This window comes from Homo sapiens, chromosome 7 (genome assembly GCF_000001405.40).
Source record: "Homo sapiens chromosome 7, GRCh38.p14 Primary Assembly".
NCBI lineage: Eukaryota > Metazoa > Chordata > Mammalia > Primates > Hominidae > Homo > Homo sapiens.
Genome location: NC_000007.14, coordinates 86,330,894 through 86,345,871, shown reverse-complemented (window position 1 = coordinate 86,345,871; position 14,978 = coordinate 86,330,894). Strand labels below are relative to the sequence as shown.

Here is a 14,978-nt window from a genome sequence, read left to right as displayed (position 1 = left end):
TATATGTCCACATTTTCTTAATCCAGTCTATCATTGTTGGACATTTGGGTTGGTTCCAAGTCTTTGCTATTGTGAATAATGCCGCAATAAACATACGTGTGCATGTGTCTTTATAGCAGCATGATTTATAGTCCTTTGGGTATATACCCAGTAATGGGATGGCTGGGCCAAATGGTATTTCTAGTTCTAGATCCCTGAGGAATCACCACACTGACTTCCACAATGGTTTAACGAGTTTACAGTCCCACCAACAGTGGAAAAGTGTTCCTATTTCTCCACATCCTCTCCAGCACCTGTTGTTTCCTGACTTTTTAATGATTGCCATTCTAACTGGTGTGAGATGGTATGTCATTGTGGTTTTGATTTGCATTTCTCTGATGGCCAGTGATGGTGAGCATTTTTTCATGTGTGTTTTGGCTGCATAAATGTGTTCTTTTGAGAAGTGTCTGTTCATGTCCTTCACCCACTTTTTGATGGGGTTGTTTGTTTTTTTCTTGTAAATTTGTTTGAGTTCATTGTAGATTCTGGATATTAGCCCTTTGTCAGATGAGTAGGTTGCGAAAATTTTCTCCCATTTTGTAGGTTGCCTGTTCACTCTGATGGTAGTTTCTTCTTCTGTGCAGGAGCTCTTTAGTTTAATTAGATCCCATTTGTCAATTTTGGCTTTTGTTGCCATTGCTTTTGGTGTTTTAGACATGAAGTCCTTGCCCATGCCTATGTCCTGAATGGTAATGCCTAGGTTTTCTTCTAGGGTTTTTATGGTTTTAGGTCGAACGTTTAAGTCTTTAATCCATCTTGAATTGATTTTTGTGTAAGGTTTAAGGAAGGGATCCAGTTTCAGCTTTCTACATATGGCTAGCCAGTTTTCCCAACACCATTTATTAAATAGGGAATCCTTTCCCCATTGCTTGTTTTTCTCAGGTTTGTCAAAGATCAGATAGTTGTAGATATGCGACGTTATTTCTGAGGGCTCTGTTCTGTTCCATTGATCTATATCTCTGTTTTGGTACCAGTACCATGCTGTTTTGGTTACTGTAGCCTTGTAGTATAGTTTGAAGTCAGGTAGTGTGATGCCTCCAGCTTTGTTCTTTTGGCTTAGGATTGACTCGGCAATGCAGGCTCTTTTTTGGTTCCATATGAACTTTAAAGTAGTTTTTTCCAATTCTGTGAAGAAAGTCATTGGTAGCTTGATGGGGATGGCATTGAATCTGTAAATTGCCTTGGGCAGTATGGCCATTTTCACGATATTGATTCTTCCTACCCATGAGCATGGAATGTTCTTCCATTTGTTTATATCCTCTTTTATTTCCTTGAGCAGTGGTTTGTAGTTCTCCTTGAAGAGGTCCTTCATATCCCTTGTAAGTTGGATTCCTAGGTATTTTATTCTCTTTGAAGCAATTGTGAATGGGAGTTCACTCATGATTTGGCTCTCTGTTTGTCTGTTGTTGGTGTATAAGAATGCTTGTGATTTTTGTACATTGATTTTGTATCCTGAGACTTTGCTGAAGTTGCTTATCAGCTTAAGGAGATTTTGGGCTGAGACAATGGGGTTTTCTAGATATACAATCATGTCGTCTGCAAACAGGGACAATTTGACTTCCTCTTTTCCTAATTGAATACCCTTTATTTCCTTCTCCTGCCTAATTGCCCTGGCCAGAACTTCCAACACTATGTTGAACAGGAGTGGTGAGAGAGGGCATCCCTGTCTTGTGGCACTTTTCAAAGGGAATGCTTCCAGTTTTTGCCCATTCAGTATGATATTGGCTGTGGGTTTGTCATAGATAGCTCTTATTATTTTGAAATACGTCCCATCAGTACCTAATTTACTGAGAGTTTTTAGCATAAAGCGTTGTTGAATTTTGTCAAAGGCCTTTTCTGCATCTATTGAGATAATCATGTGGTTTTTGTCTTTGGCTCTGTTTATATGCTGGATTACATTTATTGATTTGCGTATATTGAACCAGCCTTGCATCCCAGGGATGAAGCCCACTTGATCATGGTGGATAAGCTTTTTGATGTGCTGCTGGATTCGGTTTGCCAGTATTTTATTGAGGATTTTTGCATCAATGTTCATGAAGGATATTGGTCTAAAATTCTCTTTTTTTGTTGTGTCTCTGCCTGGCTTTGGTATCAGAATGATGCTGGCCTCATAAAATGAGTTAGGGAGGATTCCCTCTTTTTCTATTGATTGGAATAGTTTCAGAAGGAATGGTACCAGTTCCTCCTTGTACCTCTGGTAGAATTCGGCTGTGAATCCATCTGGTCCTGGACTCTTTTTGGTTGGTAAGCTATTGATTATTGCCACAATTTCAGGTCCTGTTATTGGTCTATTCAGAGATTCAACTTCTTCCTGGTTTAGTCTTGGGAGAGTGTATGTGTCGAGGAATTTATCCATTTCTTCTAGATTTTCTAGTTTATTTGCGTAGAGGTGTTTGTAGTATTCTCTGATGGTAGCTTGTATTTCTGTGGGATCGGTGGTGATATCCCCTTTATCATTTTTTATTGCATCTATTTGATTCTTCTCTCTTTTTTTCTTTATTAGTCTTGCTAGTGGTCTATCAATTTTGTTGATCCTTTCAAAAAACCAGCTCCTGGATTCATTAATTTTTTGAAGGGCTTTTTGTGTCTCTATTTCCTTCAGTTCTGCTCTGATTTTAGTTATTTCTTGCCTTCTGCTAGCTTTTGAATGTGTTTGCTCTTGCTTTTCTAGTTGTTTTAATTGTGATGTTAGGGTGTCAATTTTGGATCTTTCCTGCTTTCTCTTGTGGCCATTTAGTGCTATAAATTTCCCTCTACACACTGCTTTGAATGTGTCCCAGAGATTCTGGTATGTTGGGTCTTTGTTCTCGTTGGTTTCAAAGAACATCTTTATTTCTGCCTTCATTTCGTTATGTACCCAGTAGTCATTCAGGAGCAGGTTGTTCAGTTTCCATGTAGTTGAGCGGTTTTGAGTGAGGTTCTTAATCCTGAGTTCTAGTTTGATTGCACTGTGGTCGGAGAGATAGTTTGTTATAATTTCTGTTCTTTTACATTTGCTGAGGAGAGCTTTATTTCCAACTATGTGGTCAGTTTTGGAATAGGTGTGGTGTGGTGCTGAAAAGAATGTATATTCTGTTGATTTGGGGTGGAGAGTTCTGTAGATGTCTATTAGGTCCGCTTGGTGCAGAGCTGAGTTCAATTCCTGGGTATCCTTGTTGACTTTCTGTCTCGTTGATCTGTCTAATGTTGACAGTGGGGTGTTAAAGTCTCCCATTATTAATGTGTGGGAGTCTAAGTCTCTTTGTAGGTCTCTAAGGACTTGCTTTATGAATCTTGGTGCTCCTGTATTGGGTGCATATATATTTAGGATAGTTAGCTCTTCTTGTTGAATTGATCCCTTTACCATTATGTAATGGCCTTCTTTGTCTCTTTTGATCTTTGTTGGTTTAAAGTCTGTTTTATCAGAGACTAGGATTGCAACCCCTGCCTTTTTTTGTTGTCCATTTGCTTGGTAGATCTTCCTCCATCCTTTTATTTTGAGCCTATGTGTGTCTTTGCCCGTGAGATGGTTTTCCTGAATACAGCACACTGATGGGTCTTGACTCTTTATCCAATTTTCCAGTCTGTGTCTTTTAATTGGAGCATTTAGTCCATTTGCATTTAAAGTTAATATTCTTATGTGTGAATTTGATCCTGTCATGATGATGTTATCTGGTTATTTTGCTCGTTAGTTGATGCAGTTTCTTCCTAGTCTCGATGGTCTTTACATTTTGGCATGATTTTGCAGCGGCTGGTCCCGGTTGTTCCTTTCCATGTTTAGCGCTTCCTTCAGGAGCTCTTGTAAGGCAGGCCTGGTGGTGACAAAATCTCTCAGCATTTGCTTGTCTGTAAAGGATTTTATTTCTCCTTCACTTATGAAGCTTAGTTTGGGTGGAAATGAAATTCTGGGTTGAAAATTCTTTTCTTTAAGAATGTTGAATATTGGCCCCCACTCTCTTCTGGCTTGTAGGGTTTCTGCCGAGAGATCTGCTGTTAGTCTGATGGGCTTCCCTTTGTGGGTAACCCGACCTTTCTCTCTGGCTGCCCTTAACATTTTTTCCTTCATTTCAACTTTGGTGAATCTGACAATTATGTGTCTTGGAGTTGCTATTCTCGAGGAGTATCTTTGTGGCATTCTCTGTATTTCCTGAATCTGAACATTGGCCTGCCTTGCTAGATTGGGGAAGTTCTCCTGGATAATATCCTGCAGAGTGTTTTCCAACTTGGTTCCATTCTCCCCATCACTTTCAGGTACACCAATCAGACGTAGATTAGGTGTTTTCACATAGTCCCATATTTCTTGGAGGCTTTGCTCATTTCTTTTTATTCTTTTTTCTCTAAACTTCCCTTCTCGCTTCATTTCATTCATTTCATCTTCCATTGCTGATACTCTTTCTTCCAGTTGATCACATCGGCTCCTGAGGCTTCTGCATTCTTCACGTAGTTTTCGAGCCTTGGTTTTCAGCTCCATCAGCTCCTTTAAGCACTTCTCTGTATTGGTTATTCTAGTTATACATTCTTCTAAATTTTTTTCAAAGTTTTCAACTTCTTTGCCTTTGGTTTGAATGTCCCCCCGTAGCTCAGAGTAATTTGATCATCTGAAGCCTTCTTCTCTCAGCTCATCAAAGTCATTCTCCATCCAGCTTTGTTCGGTTCCTGGTGAGGAACTGCGTTCCTTTGGAGGAGGAGAGGTGCTCTGCTTTTTAGAGTTTCCAGTTTTTCTGTTCTGTTTTTTCCCCATCTTTGTGGTTTTATCTACTTTTGGTCTTTGATGATGGTGATGTACAGATGGGTTTTTGGTGTGGGTGTCCTTTCTGTTTGTTAGTTTTACTTCTAACAGAGAGGACCCTCAGCTGCAGGTCTGTTGGAATACCCTGCCTTGTGAGGTGTCAGTGTGCCCCTGCTGGGGGGTGCCTCCCAGTTAGGCTGCTCGGGGGTGAGGGGTCAGGGACCCACTTGAGGAGGCAGTCTGCCTGTTCTCAGATCTCCAGCTGCGTGCTGGGGGAACCACTGCTCTCTTCAAAGCTGTCAGACAGGGACATTTAAGTCTGCAGAGGTTACTGCTGTCTTTTTTTTAGTCTGTGCCCTGCCCCCAGAGGTGGAGCCTACAGAGGCAGGCAGGCCTCCTTGAGCTGTGGTGGGCTCCACCCAGTTCGAGCTTCCCGGCTGCTTTGTTTACCTAAGCAAGCCTGGCCAATGGTGGGCGCCCCTCCCCCAGCCTCGCTGCCGCCTTGCAGTTTGATCTCAGACTGCTGTGCTAGCAATCAGCGAGACTCCGTGGGTGTAGGACCCTCCAAGCCAGGTGCGGGACACAATCTCCTGGTGTGCCGTTTTTTAAGCCCATCGGAAAAGCGCAGTATTCGGGTGGGAGTGACCCGATTTTCCAGGTGCCGTCCTTCACCCCTTTCTTTGACTAGGAAAGGGAACTCCCTGACCCCTTGTGCTTCCCAAGTGAGGCAATGCCTCGCCCTGCTTCGGCTCGCACACGGTGCATGCACCCACTGACCTGCGCCCACTGTCTGGCACTCCGTAGTGAGATGAACCCGGTACCTCAGATGGAAATGCAGAAATCACCCGTCTTCTGCGTCGCTCACGCTGGGAGCTGTACACTGGAGCTGTTCCTATTCGGCCATCTTGGCTCCTCCTTGTTTATAGTTTTTTTTAATGTTCCTTATAGATGCTGGATACTAGACCTCTGACAGATGCATAGTTTGCAAAAATGTTCTCCCATTCTATAGATTGTCTGTTCATTCTTTTGATAGTTTTTTTTTTTTTTTTTTTTTTTTTGCTATGCAGAAGCTCCTTAGTTTAATTAGATCTCATTTACCAATTTTTGCTTTTGTTGTAATTGCCTTTGACATCTTCATCATGAAATCTTTGACAGGGCCTATGTCTAGAATCATATTGCCTAGATTGTCTTTCAGAGTTTTTATAGTTTTGGATTTTACATTTAAGTCTTTAATCCAAAAATCTTGAGTTAACTTTCGTATATAGAATAAAAAGGGGGTCTAGTTTCAGTCCTCTGCAAATGACTAGCCAGTTATCCAAGCACCATTTATTGAAGAGGGTAATTCCTTTCCCCAGTGCTTTTGCAGCTTTGTCAAAGATCAGATGGTTACAGGTGTGTAGCCTTATTTGTGGGCTCTCTATTCTGTTCCGTTGATCTGTGTGTCAGTTTTTGAACCAGTACTATGCTCTTTTGGTTACTGTATCCCTGTAGTATAGTTTGAAGTTGGGTAGCATAATGCTTCCTGCTTTGTTCTTTTTGCTCAAAATAATGGGTCATATATGACAAACCTATAACAAATATCATAATGAGTGGGCAATAACTGGAAGCATTCCCTTTGAAAACTGGCATAAGACAAGGATATGTTCTCTCACCACTTCTTTTCAACATAGTATTGGATGCCTTGCCAGAGCAATCTGACGAGAAGGAAATAAAGCGCATGCAAATAGAAAGAGAGGAAATCAAACTTTCACTTTTTGCAAGTAACTTGATTCTGTATCTAGAAAACCCCATAGTTGCAGCCTAAAAAGCTCCTTAAGCTGGTAAACAACTGCCTCAAAGTTTCAGGATACAAAAGCAACCCACAGGAATCTCTAGCATTCCTAAACAACAACAGACAAGTCAAGAGCCAAATTAGGAATGCAACCTCATTCACAATTGCCACAAGAAAAAATGAAATACCAACGAATATAGCTAACCAGGGAGGTGAAACAACTCTACAATGAAAACTACAAAAACACTAAGAAATCAGAGATAGCACAAATAAATGGAAATATATTCCATGCTCATGGATAGGAAGAAGCAATATTGTTAAAATGGCCATTCTGCCTAAAGCAGTTTACAGATTCAATGCTATTCCTATCAAACTGTCAATGACATTCTTCACAAAACTAGAAAAAAACTATTTTAAAATTCACATGGAACCAAACAAGAGCCCAAATAGCCAAGAAAATCCTAAGCAAAAGAACCAAGGCTTTCAATAAATTTGAAATTATACAATGAAAGAATAGAGTCCCTGAAAGATGGAAAATAAACTAAGCAAGCTCTACAATTGCTCGACTTACTGCTATAAGACTTTCTAGGCCTTAACGCAAAGAGCAATAACTTCAGCAGAAAGGGTGAACTCCCTGAGTTGAGGAAATACAGCTAAGAGTCTAGAGGGACAATGGTAGGTAGGGTTTGCAGGGCAGAGTAGCGGAGAAAAGAAAAATTCTGATATCTATAGAAGGTCCTTCCAGAACAACTAGCAGATAACTGACCAGTATGTGTGTGTGAGAAAATTACCCAAGGCTGGGAAAAGAACCACCTAAAAATACAAGAGGAACATTTCAGTTTTCACAGGCATAGCTTGTAGCACAAAGCCTGGACTATTGCCTGTTTCCACCAGTGAAAGTAGAAGATCTCACACATTACAAACCATTATGCAGAGAACCCCGAAAGGCCTTGCTTTAATGGTTGAAATAATTAGCTTTAAACATTATTCTAGTAATGACTAACAGATCCTAAAAATCATACTAAAAAAAAAAAAACATTGTTTTTAAGTAACTTAAATATGTCATAGCACAAATCTTAAGAATATTTTATATGGATAGAAAATTATCTAGCACCTGACAAAGTAAAGTTTAGAATAGCTTTCATTTAATGAAATATAACTAGGCATACACAGAAGCAAAAAAAAAAATACACCCAGAATGAAGAAAAAAATCAATCACACCTGTCCTAGGAGTGGTGCAGATGATAAAATTAACGGATAAGGGAATCAGAAACAGTTTTTATAACTGTAGTTCATATATTCTGAAAGCTAAAGGAAAGGTTGAACTTTTTAAGGAGAGACACGTAAGATATGAAAAAGAACCAAGTTGAACTTTCTGAAGTAAAAATAATGTCTGGCATAAAATTAATGACAAATTGCCAATTAGACACCCCAGAAAAAATGATTCATGAAATTGAATATGTAACAATAGGAACTGTTGAAAATAAAACATTGAGAGCAAAGAGAGTGAGAAAAGAGAGAGAGAAAGAGAACAGATCAGTTAGCTGTGATACAAATTCAAGAAGTCTATTTTTATGTATAATTGGAGTCCCTGAAAGAGGGAGTGGCAGAAAATTATTTGGAGAAATAATTATACAACAATTTTACAATTTGATAAACACTGTAAACCCAAAGTTTCAAGGGCAGAGTAGTGCCCTTGAAGCATTCAAGATACAGCAAGACCTAAAAATATGGGAAAAAAGAAACTCTGCCAAGAAACATAATTACATGAATAAATATCAGTTATAAAGATAAAATCTTAAAGGTGTGCTTGGAAAAAAAAAAGATAGATTATCTATAGAGAAACAAAAATATATGACAGAAAACTTTTCATCAGATTCAAAGCAAGATCAGAGATAACTGAGAAAAACTTTAGAGTACTGGAGAACAAAGAATTCTAATACTAGAATTCTACACCCAAAGAAAAGGTCTTACAAAGTGAAAGATGAAATAGATACTTTTTTCAGATATATAAAACTCAAGAATATAATTACTGGAACACCTATGATGAAAAACAGTTGAAGAAATTTCCTCAGACAGAAGAAAAATATTACCCAATGTAAATATGGGCCAACACAAAGAAATGAAGAGTACAAGACATGCTAAGTACATTAGCAAATATATAACATTTTTTCATATCATTTAAAACTTAAATATTCCCAAATAATTAAACAAACAGAAAAGGACACAATGTGATATTTATAACATATATAGAAAATAAATTTGAAAACTATATACGAATTGAAAAAGGAGTTAGAGAAGTGTTGGGGTCTTCAGAAAGTTTATAGAAAATATATATTATTAAAAAAACTATGCATAGATAAATTGTTTTGTACCAAATTAAACTCATACTAATTTGTATAACATGTCTGAATAGAATCTAGTTTGGCACACTAAAGACATCTGTTTGAAAACAGCCCCTATCAAAGCAACATGGATTTTGCTAAAATTGAAGCCAAAACAAACATAAAATTTATGTTGAAGTTTGGATGGAAGAATGATAAAATTACTTATGCTTTCCAAAAAGTGTATGGGGAAAATTTCCTCAAAGAAATCAGCACTTTACAGATGGATAACTTGTTTTAAGAAGGAATGACACAATGTTGAAGATGAACCACAGAGGGACGGACCGTCTACATTGATTTGTGAGGAAAAAATTAATCTTGTTCATGCTCTAATTGAAGAGGACCGACAACAGCACAAACAATAGCCAACATCATTGACATCTCAATTGTTTCAGCTTACACAATTATGACTAAAAAATTAAAGTTGAGCAAACTTTCCAATTGATGGATGCCAAAACCATTGTGCCCAGATCGGCTGCAGACAAGAGAGGGGATTTCAATGGAAATATTAAACAAGTAGGATCAAGATCCTGAAATATGAATAACTAATGTCTGCCTTAGAAACCATGCATTTCTTTAATTTCTTAAAAATTTTGGAGATTTTATTTTTTATGAAAAGTGACTTTGACACTTTATGACATTAAATAATTAAATTAATATCACTTTTCTCATTTTTTTGCCTTTAGTTATGTCAAAGTGGTATAAAAATAACCCAGTCATTTTCAGAAGATTAAATATTATTATTTAAATATGTAAGTTATAAATTCCTCTCGTGTGTCAAATAATTTTATAAGAAAAAATTCAGCCAGCAAAGTAATGTCATTACTAATTTAGCTTATTGTGTATTCTCTCTAATGATACTAAGTTGAGCACAGTAACAGTGCAATTATATTTCTAAGCAGAAGTAGAGTGTACTCATTATTTTGTTCTGAAAATTACACTCGGATTAATCATTTGATAAGCCCATAATTGTATGGTCTATGTAATATTAGATGTGCTGAATAACATAATTGAAATGAATTTGTAGTGATAACACTTAGGAAACCCATTGTTTATATACACAAGTCATTAAAAATACTACTGGTAAATTTTAGGCAAGAATTGTTTGGGAAATTTTAATGTTTATTAGAATAGTATTTTCAATATAAATTTGAAAAATGAGAAATATTTAAGTGGCTAGCACTCTGGAGGAGAAGCAAAGATAATTGGGATTTATTTTTAGATCTGTGATTCACTTATGGTATTTCACAACTAATCATGTCAAGAAAATTACACTCAATTGCCATTTCATTTTACAAGGATATTAGATGCATAATGTCATAATAGTTATGATGATGGTTGATATTTTATAATGAAGATCCTTTTTAAAGATGTTTTAGTCTTTTCATTGTATTTTTTTCTTATTTATAAAATGATATAATAAGTCTGTCTTACAAATAGTTTTTTAAATCATCAACTTTTTTGTTTATAGACATTCTTGGGCATTGACTGCAGCCTATTTTGAATATCTTTTATTGGTTACAAACATTTGATCGTCTTTATAATTTTTTATCAAGAGATACTTCCTTTAAGAAAATGTACACATCTTTGTTTCTATGTTATGTAAATGTTATTTTTCTGTTAATTTTTTAAGTGCTCTAGTAATATATTCAAGGGTCATGTAGGCATTAGTGATTTAAAAAGAAAAATGTTTCTAATTAATCAAATTTTCCCATCATATTATGGTAGCTTTAAATGCTGTGTTTAGTTTTCTGATTAGAAAAGTAACACTAGCCATTTTACAGAATAATTTAGCAAACAAGGAATGATATAGAGAACACGATATTATCTTTGATACTTCTTTGGGTTATCATTCTTAACAGATTAATATATTTTTCATTCTCCCTCTGCCTAGTATATAATAACTACACTTTGCTCAGTATGCATCATTTTCCTGAAACTTACTACAAGTGCTTTAATGGTCCCTAAATATCTTGGTATTAATTTACTTATTCATTAGTTATTTCATCAAACATTTTTGAGTGCCTAAAATATACCAAGAAATGTGCTTATGCTTTTTTTTTTTGAAGAAAGTAAGCCATACCCTAATGCTCATAGTTTATATTTCAGTAGAAGGAGATGATAATTAAGAGAAAGAAATCAAATGAATCATTTCAAAGTAGTGATAACATTAATAAAAATAAGGAAATAGAAAATATAATAGTGACTGGAGTGCCAAGGCTCTAGGTATTAATAAGTTTGGCATGTTCAAAGAACATAAACAATGTCAATGTGGCTGGGGCTTTGTTATCAGGTTTGGAGTGACACATTTAGTTGGGGCATTAGTTTGAGTTTGTCAAGCTTTTACATTTAAAGCTGAGACTCTCAAATGGAAATGGTACTTAAGCTGATCTTTACTGAATATATAAATATAAATTCAGACAGATAGTATTAACTTAGCCAATCCATTATTACTGGACATGTATTTTATTAACAATTTTAATCTAAATATTGTTGTAGGAAATTCTAATACTTAAATCATTATATGAGTTTCTACTTACTTAAGCTAAAGTTCTATTGTAAGAATAACTCAAAGTTTATAAAGTTTTTGAGCACTCTTGATATATTTTAAAATTATTCCTTAATGTTTGTGTTCACTTACGCTTGTAAGAATAAACATGAAGAGAGCTCAACTCACTGCACCTGGAAGCATTTTATTATTCGTAATACGCTACCTTGTTAAGCAGTAAAATGAAATTAAACCAGAATTTACTATTTCATAGTCATTAAATCCACAACAATTTGAATGCATCACAAGTGATATAGACAAAAACATCATACTTCCAAGCGAAGCATAACATGATTATTAAATATTTCCTGAATTAATTGAAAACTTCAAGAAAAAAAAAACAAGGAAGGGGAAAGAAGAAAATATTTTGGCCTCAAACAGCACTACTTTTGTTCTGCAGTCTGATTCTTGAATCATGAGTAAGAAATTTGGAAACCCTCGTAGAAAATAACAATTTTAACTGCACAGGCTTATGATATCCTTCCCTTATATCAAGAATTAAGGAACAGACCAGTTTCTCTGTATCCACATTACAATTAATACTATACAAATTATTTAAATGAATGTTGGATTTTATAATATAGTAAGGTATTAAGCATTACTCATAAATTTGAAAACAATCACCTTCTCTGATTTCGAGATACCTTTTTGACTTTGACTCAGAAAGCACAAAGGATTTTTGCTTTGAACAAGTCGTATGTGTCAATCAGAAGTATGCCTTGAGCAAATGGAAAGTGCATAGAAAACTTTTGGTTGTTTTGTATAAATATATCAGGGCCTTATAAAATCGTGGGCACATTACATTTGTGGTTTTTTGCAGGGAAGGTGCGGAAGGAAAGGAAGTTTCTAACATGAAAAGTTTTTTTTTAAGTTAAAATATCAACATTCAAATACATGAACACCAATGTGGTAATTCTATCACCAAGTTTTTTTTTAATTAATTAATAGACAAAAATAAATAACAGCTTCCAGATTGGGAATTATTTATCACTTCTTTAAGATATCAGAAGCAGAAGAAAATAAAATAACTGACATTTAAAATATCTGAGTATCCGTTTTTCACTCTTTGTTTTAAAGTTCTAAAAGCTGTCAACAAAATAATACTTCCATTCATCATCACCTAATGTCTGAGTATAAGAATGAAAAATGCCTTCTAATTATCTCCTGGATAATGGATCACATCTGAGAAGTATGGAGATTTGATAGCGGGAAAATAAATTTAGCTTAGCTTTTTATGGAATTATCTAATTGTGCTGAATGTTGTTTATTGTGGCATATGTTACTATAGAATTCATATAAGCAGATACACTCTTCTACTTTCCTTCCAATAAGTGACTGCTCCATTTTTTTCTTTCTTTAGATGTCTCTAATAGTTTTGAAAATTTGCTATATGCCAATTGTTATAACCCTGTATCTCCTTCACCTTTGTAGTGAATGTGCTAAATGCCAAGATACTAACTAGAAAAATACATGAAATAAAAAGATCAAACCAAGAGAAGGTAAATGTATTACCTTCAACATGTGCTGTACTTGAGGCTGGATTTGGATGTGGATGTACCTGAAGCTGAGAACTGTGACTTAGTTCCTGAGGTTCATAAGTGAACTTTAGGCCTTTGAAGCATTAAGGAGGAAAGAAACATTGTGATATTTGCCTATATTTATGAAAATAATCAGGAATTCAGTGAAGGGAATAACTCAAAATCACACTAAAAATGAATTTAAAAAACAGATTATTTTTTCCCTGATAGAGTGAATGCTATCTAGGGTAACAAGTTTAGAAAGGAATATTTAAAATAAAGTGTAGATTTCTGAGTCAGTGCTAGAATGACAATCTTCCGTTTCAAAAATACATTATTTTTCTGCTTCTATGAGCAAAAATACATCAAATCTATCTATCTATCTATCTATCTATCTATCTATCTATCTGGAATTCAATGAATGGAATATATATATATACACACACACACACACACACACACACACACACACACACACACACACACACACACATATATATATATATATATATATATATATATATATATATATATATATATATATATATTTCAATGAGCTACTTTCCACAAAGAACCAGGCAGAGTTTTACTGGAAAATTCTAATAAACATTCAAAAAGTGGTCATTTTAATGCCACCTAAATTGCTACAGAGATTAGAAAGGAAAACTTCAAATGCTTTTTATAAATGCAGATATTGTCATACCCGGTCAAAATTTTATAAGAAAAGTTCAGACCATTCCTACTTATTAATGAATAAAATATTATTAGAAATATTTAAAAGCACACTAAAAACTACAGCATGATTAGGCAGGCTTTATTCCAGAAATCCAAAGAAGATTCAATACATGTATTAGTTAGTTCTCATGCTAGTAATCAAGACATACCCAAGACAGGGTAATTTATAAAGGAAAGTAGTTTAATTGACTCACGGTTCAGCATGACTGGGGAGGCCTCAGAAAACTTACAATCATTGTGGAAGAGGAAGCAAACATGTCCTTCTTCACATGGCAGCAGCAAGGAGAAGTGCCAAGCAAAAGGGGGAAAAAGGCTTTCTCCTTATAAAACTGTTAGATCTCCTGAGAATTCACTATCACAAGAACATCATAGAGAGTAACCACTCCCATGAATAAATCATCCTCACTGGGTCCCTCCCATGACATGTGGGGATTACGGGAACTATAATTCAAGATAAGATTTGGTTGGGGACACAGCCAAACCATATCAATACAGTATATCCATTAATGTGATTACAATTATATACATTTTTAAAGTTTCAAAAAGTAAAGTAACCATTTGTTACATAAAGCACTAATAAAATAAAATATTGTGACTTTCTAAGCTTGATAAAAATCTATGTACTTCAATTGCAAAGCCAATATCTGACACATTAGAAAGAATAGAGCTCTATCCACTACAATCAAGATAATCTTTCTATCCTATTGTCTAAACTGATGTTTAGCCTTGAATTATAGTTATTATCCAAAGCAATAGGAAAATAAAAAATCAATTTGAAAAATAAGAATTAGAAAAGAGGGCAACATTTAGTAGCATGTCCAGAACATTTAAGAGAAATTTTTAATAAAACTACCACAAAGAGTAAAAACTGATACAAACATTTCAATAAGGTATTAATGTATAAAAAATAAGAAATTCAAATCCCTTCACATATTCAAACAATAATCACAAAAATACCTTTTTAAGAAAATAGAAAAAGATAATACCTAAAATAAAATGTGTAAAACCTATAGAAAAAACAGTTTCAAATACTTCAGTAAAAGACAAAGTCCCATTATTTTGCCAAAACAATCAAACATCATAAAGGTATCAACCGCATAAGATAAAATATAAATGTAATATGGTATTAGAAAATTATAAGAGAATTTCGCTGAATTTAAACAAGTTCATATGAAAATCAAATGAAAAAAAATAACAATCATGACTAGATGAAGAAACCCTAAAAATGAAGATCAGCAACACAGGCAAAGGAGAATTGGCCTTCCTAGAATGTAAA

At 35.1% G+C, this 14,978-nt stretch overlaps 2 annotated features.

The window, feature by feature from the left end:
- Nucleotides 4,687–5,311: an enhancer, noted in NCBI's record as "OCT4-NANOG-H3K27ac-H3K4me1 hESC enhancer chr7:85969877-85970501 (GRCh37/hg19 assembly coordinates)". NCBI's record gives its function as "activates a minimal SCP1, AML or CMV promoter by ChIP-STARR-seq in primed H9 embryonic stem cells {active_cell/tissue: H9 hESC(primed)}" and the evidence as "EXISTENCE:reporter gene assay evidence [ECO:0000049][PMID:30033119]".
- Nucleotides 5,312–5,936: an enhancer, noted in NCBI's record as "OCT4-NANOG-H3K27ac-H3K4me1 hESC enhancer chr7:85969252-85969876 (GRCh37/hg19 assembly coordinates)". NCBI's record gives its function as "activates a minimal SCP1, AML or CMV promoter by ChIP-STARR-seq in primed H9 embryonic stem cells {active_cell/tissue: H9 hESC(primed)}" and the evidence as "EXISTENCE:reporter gene assay evidence [ECO:0000049][PMID:30033119]".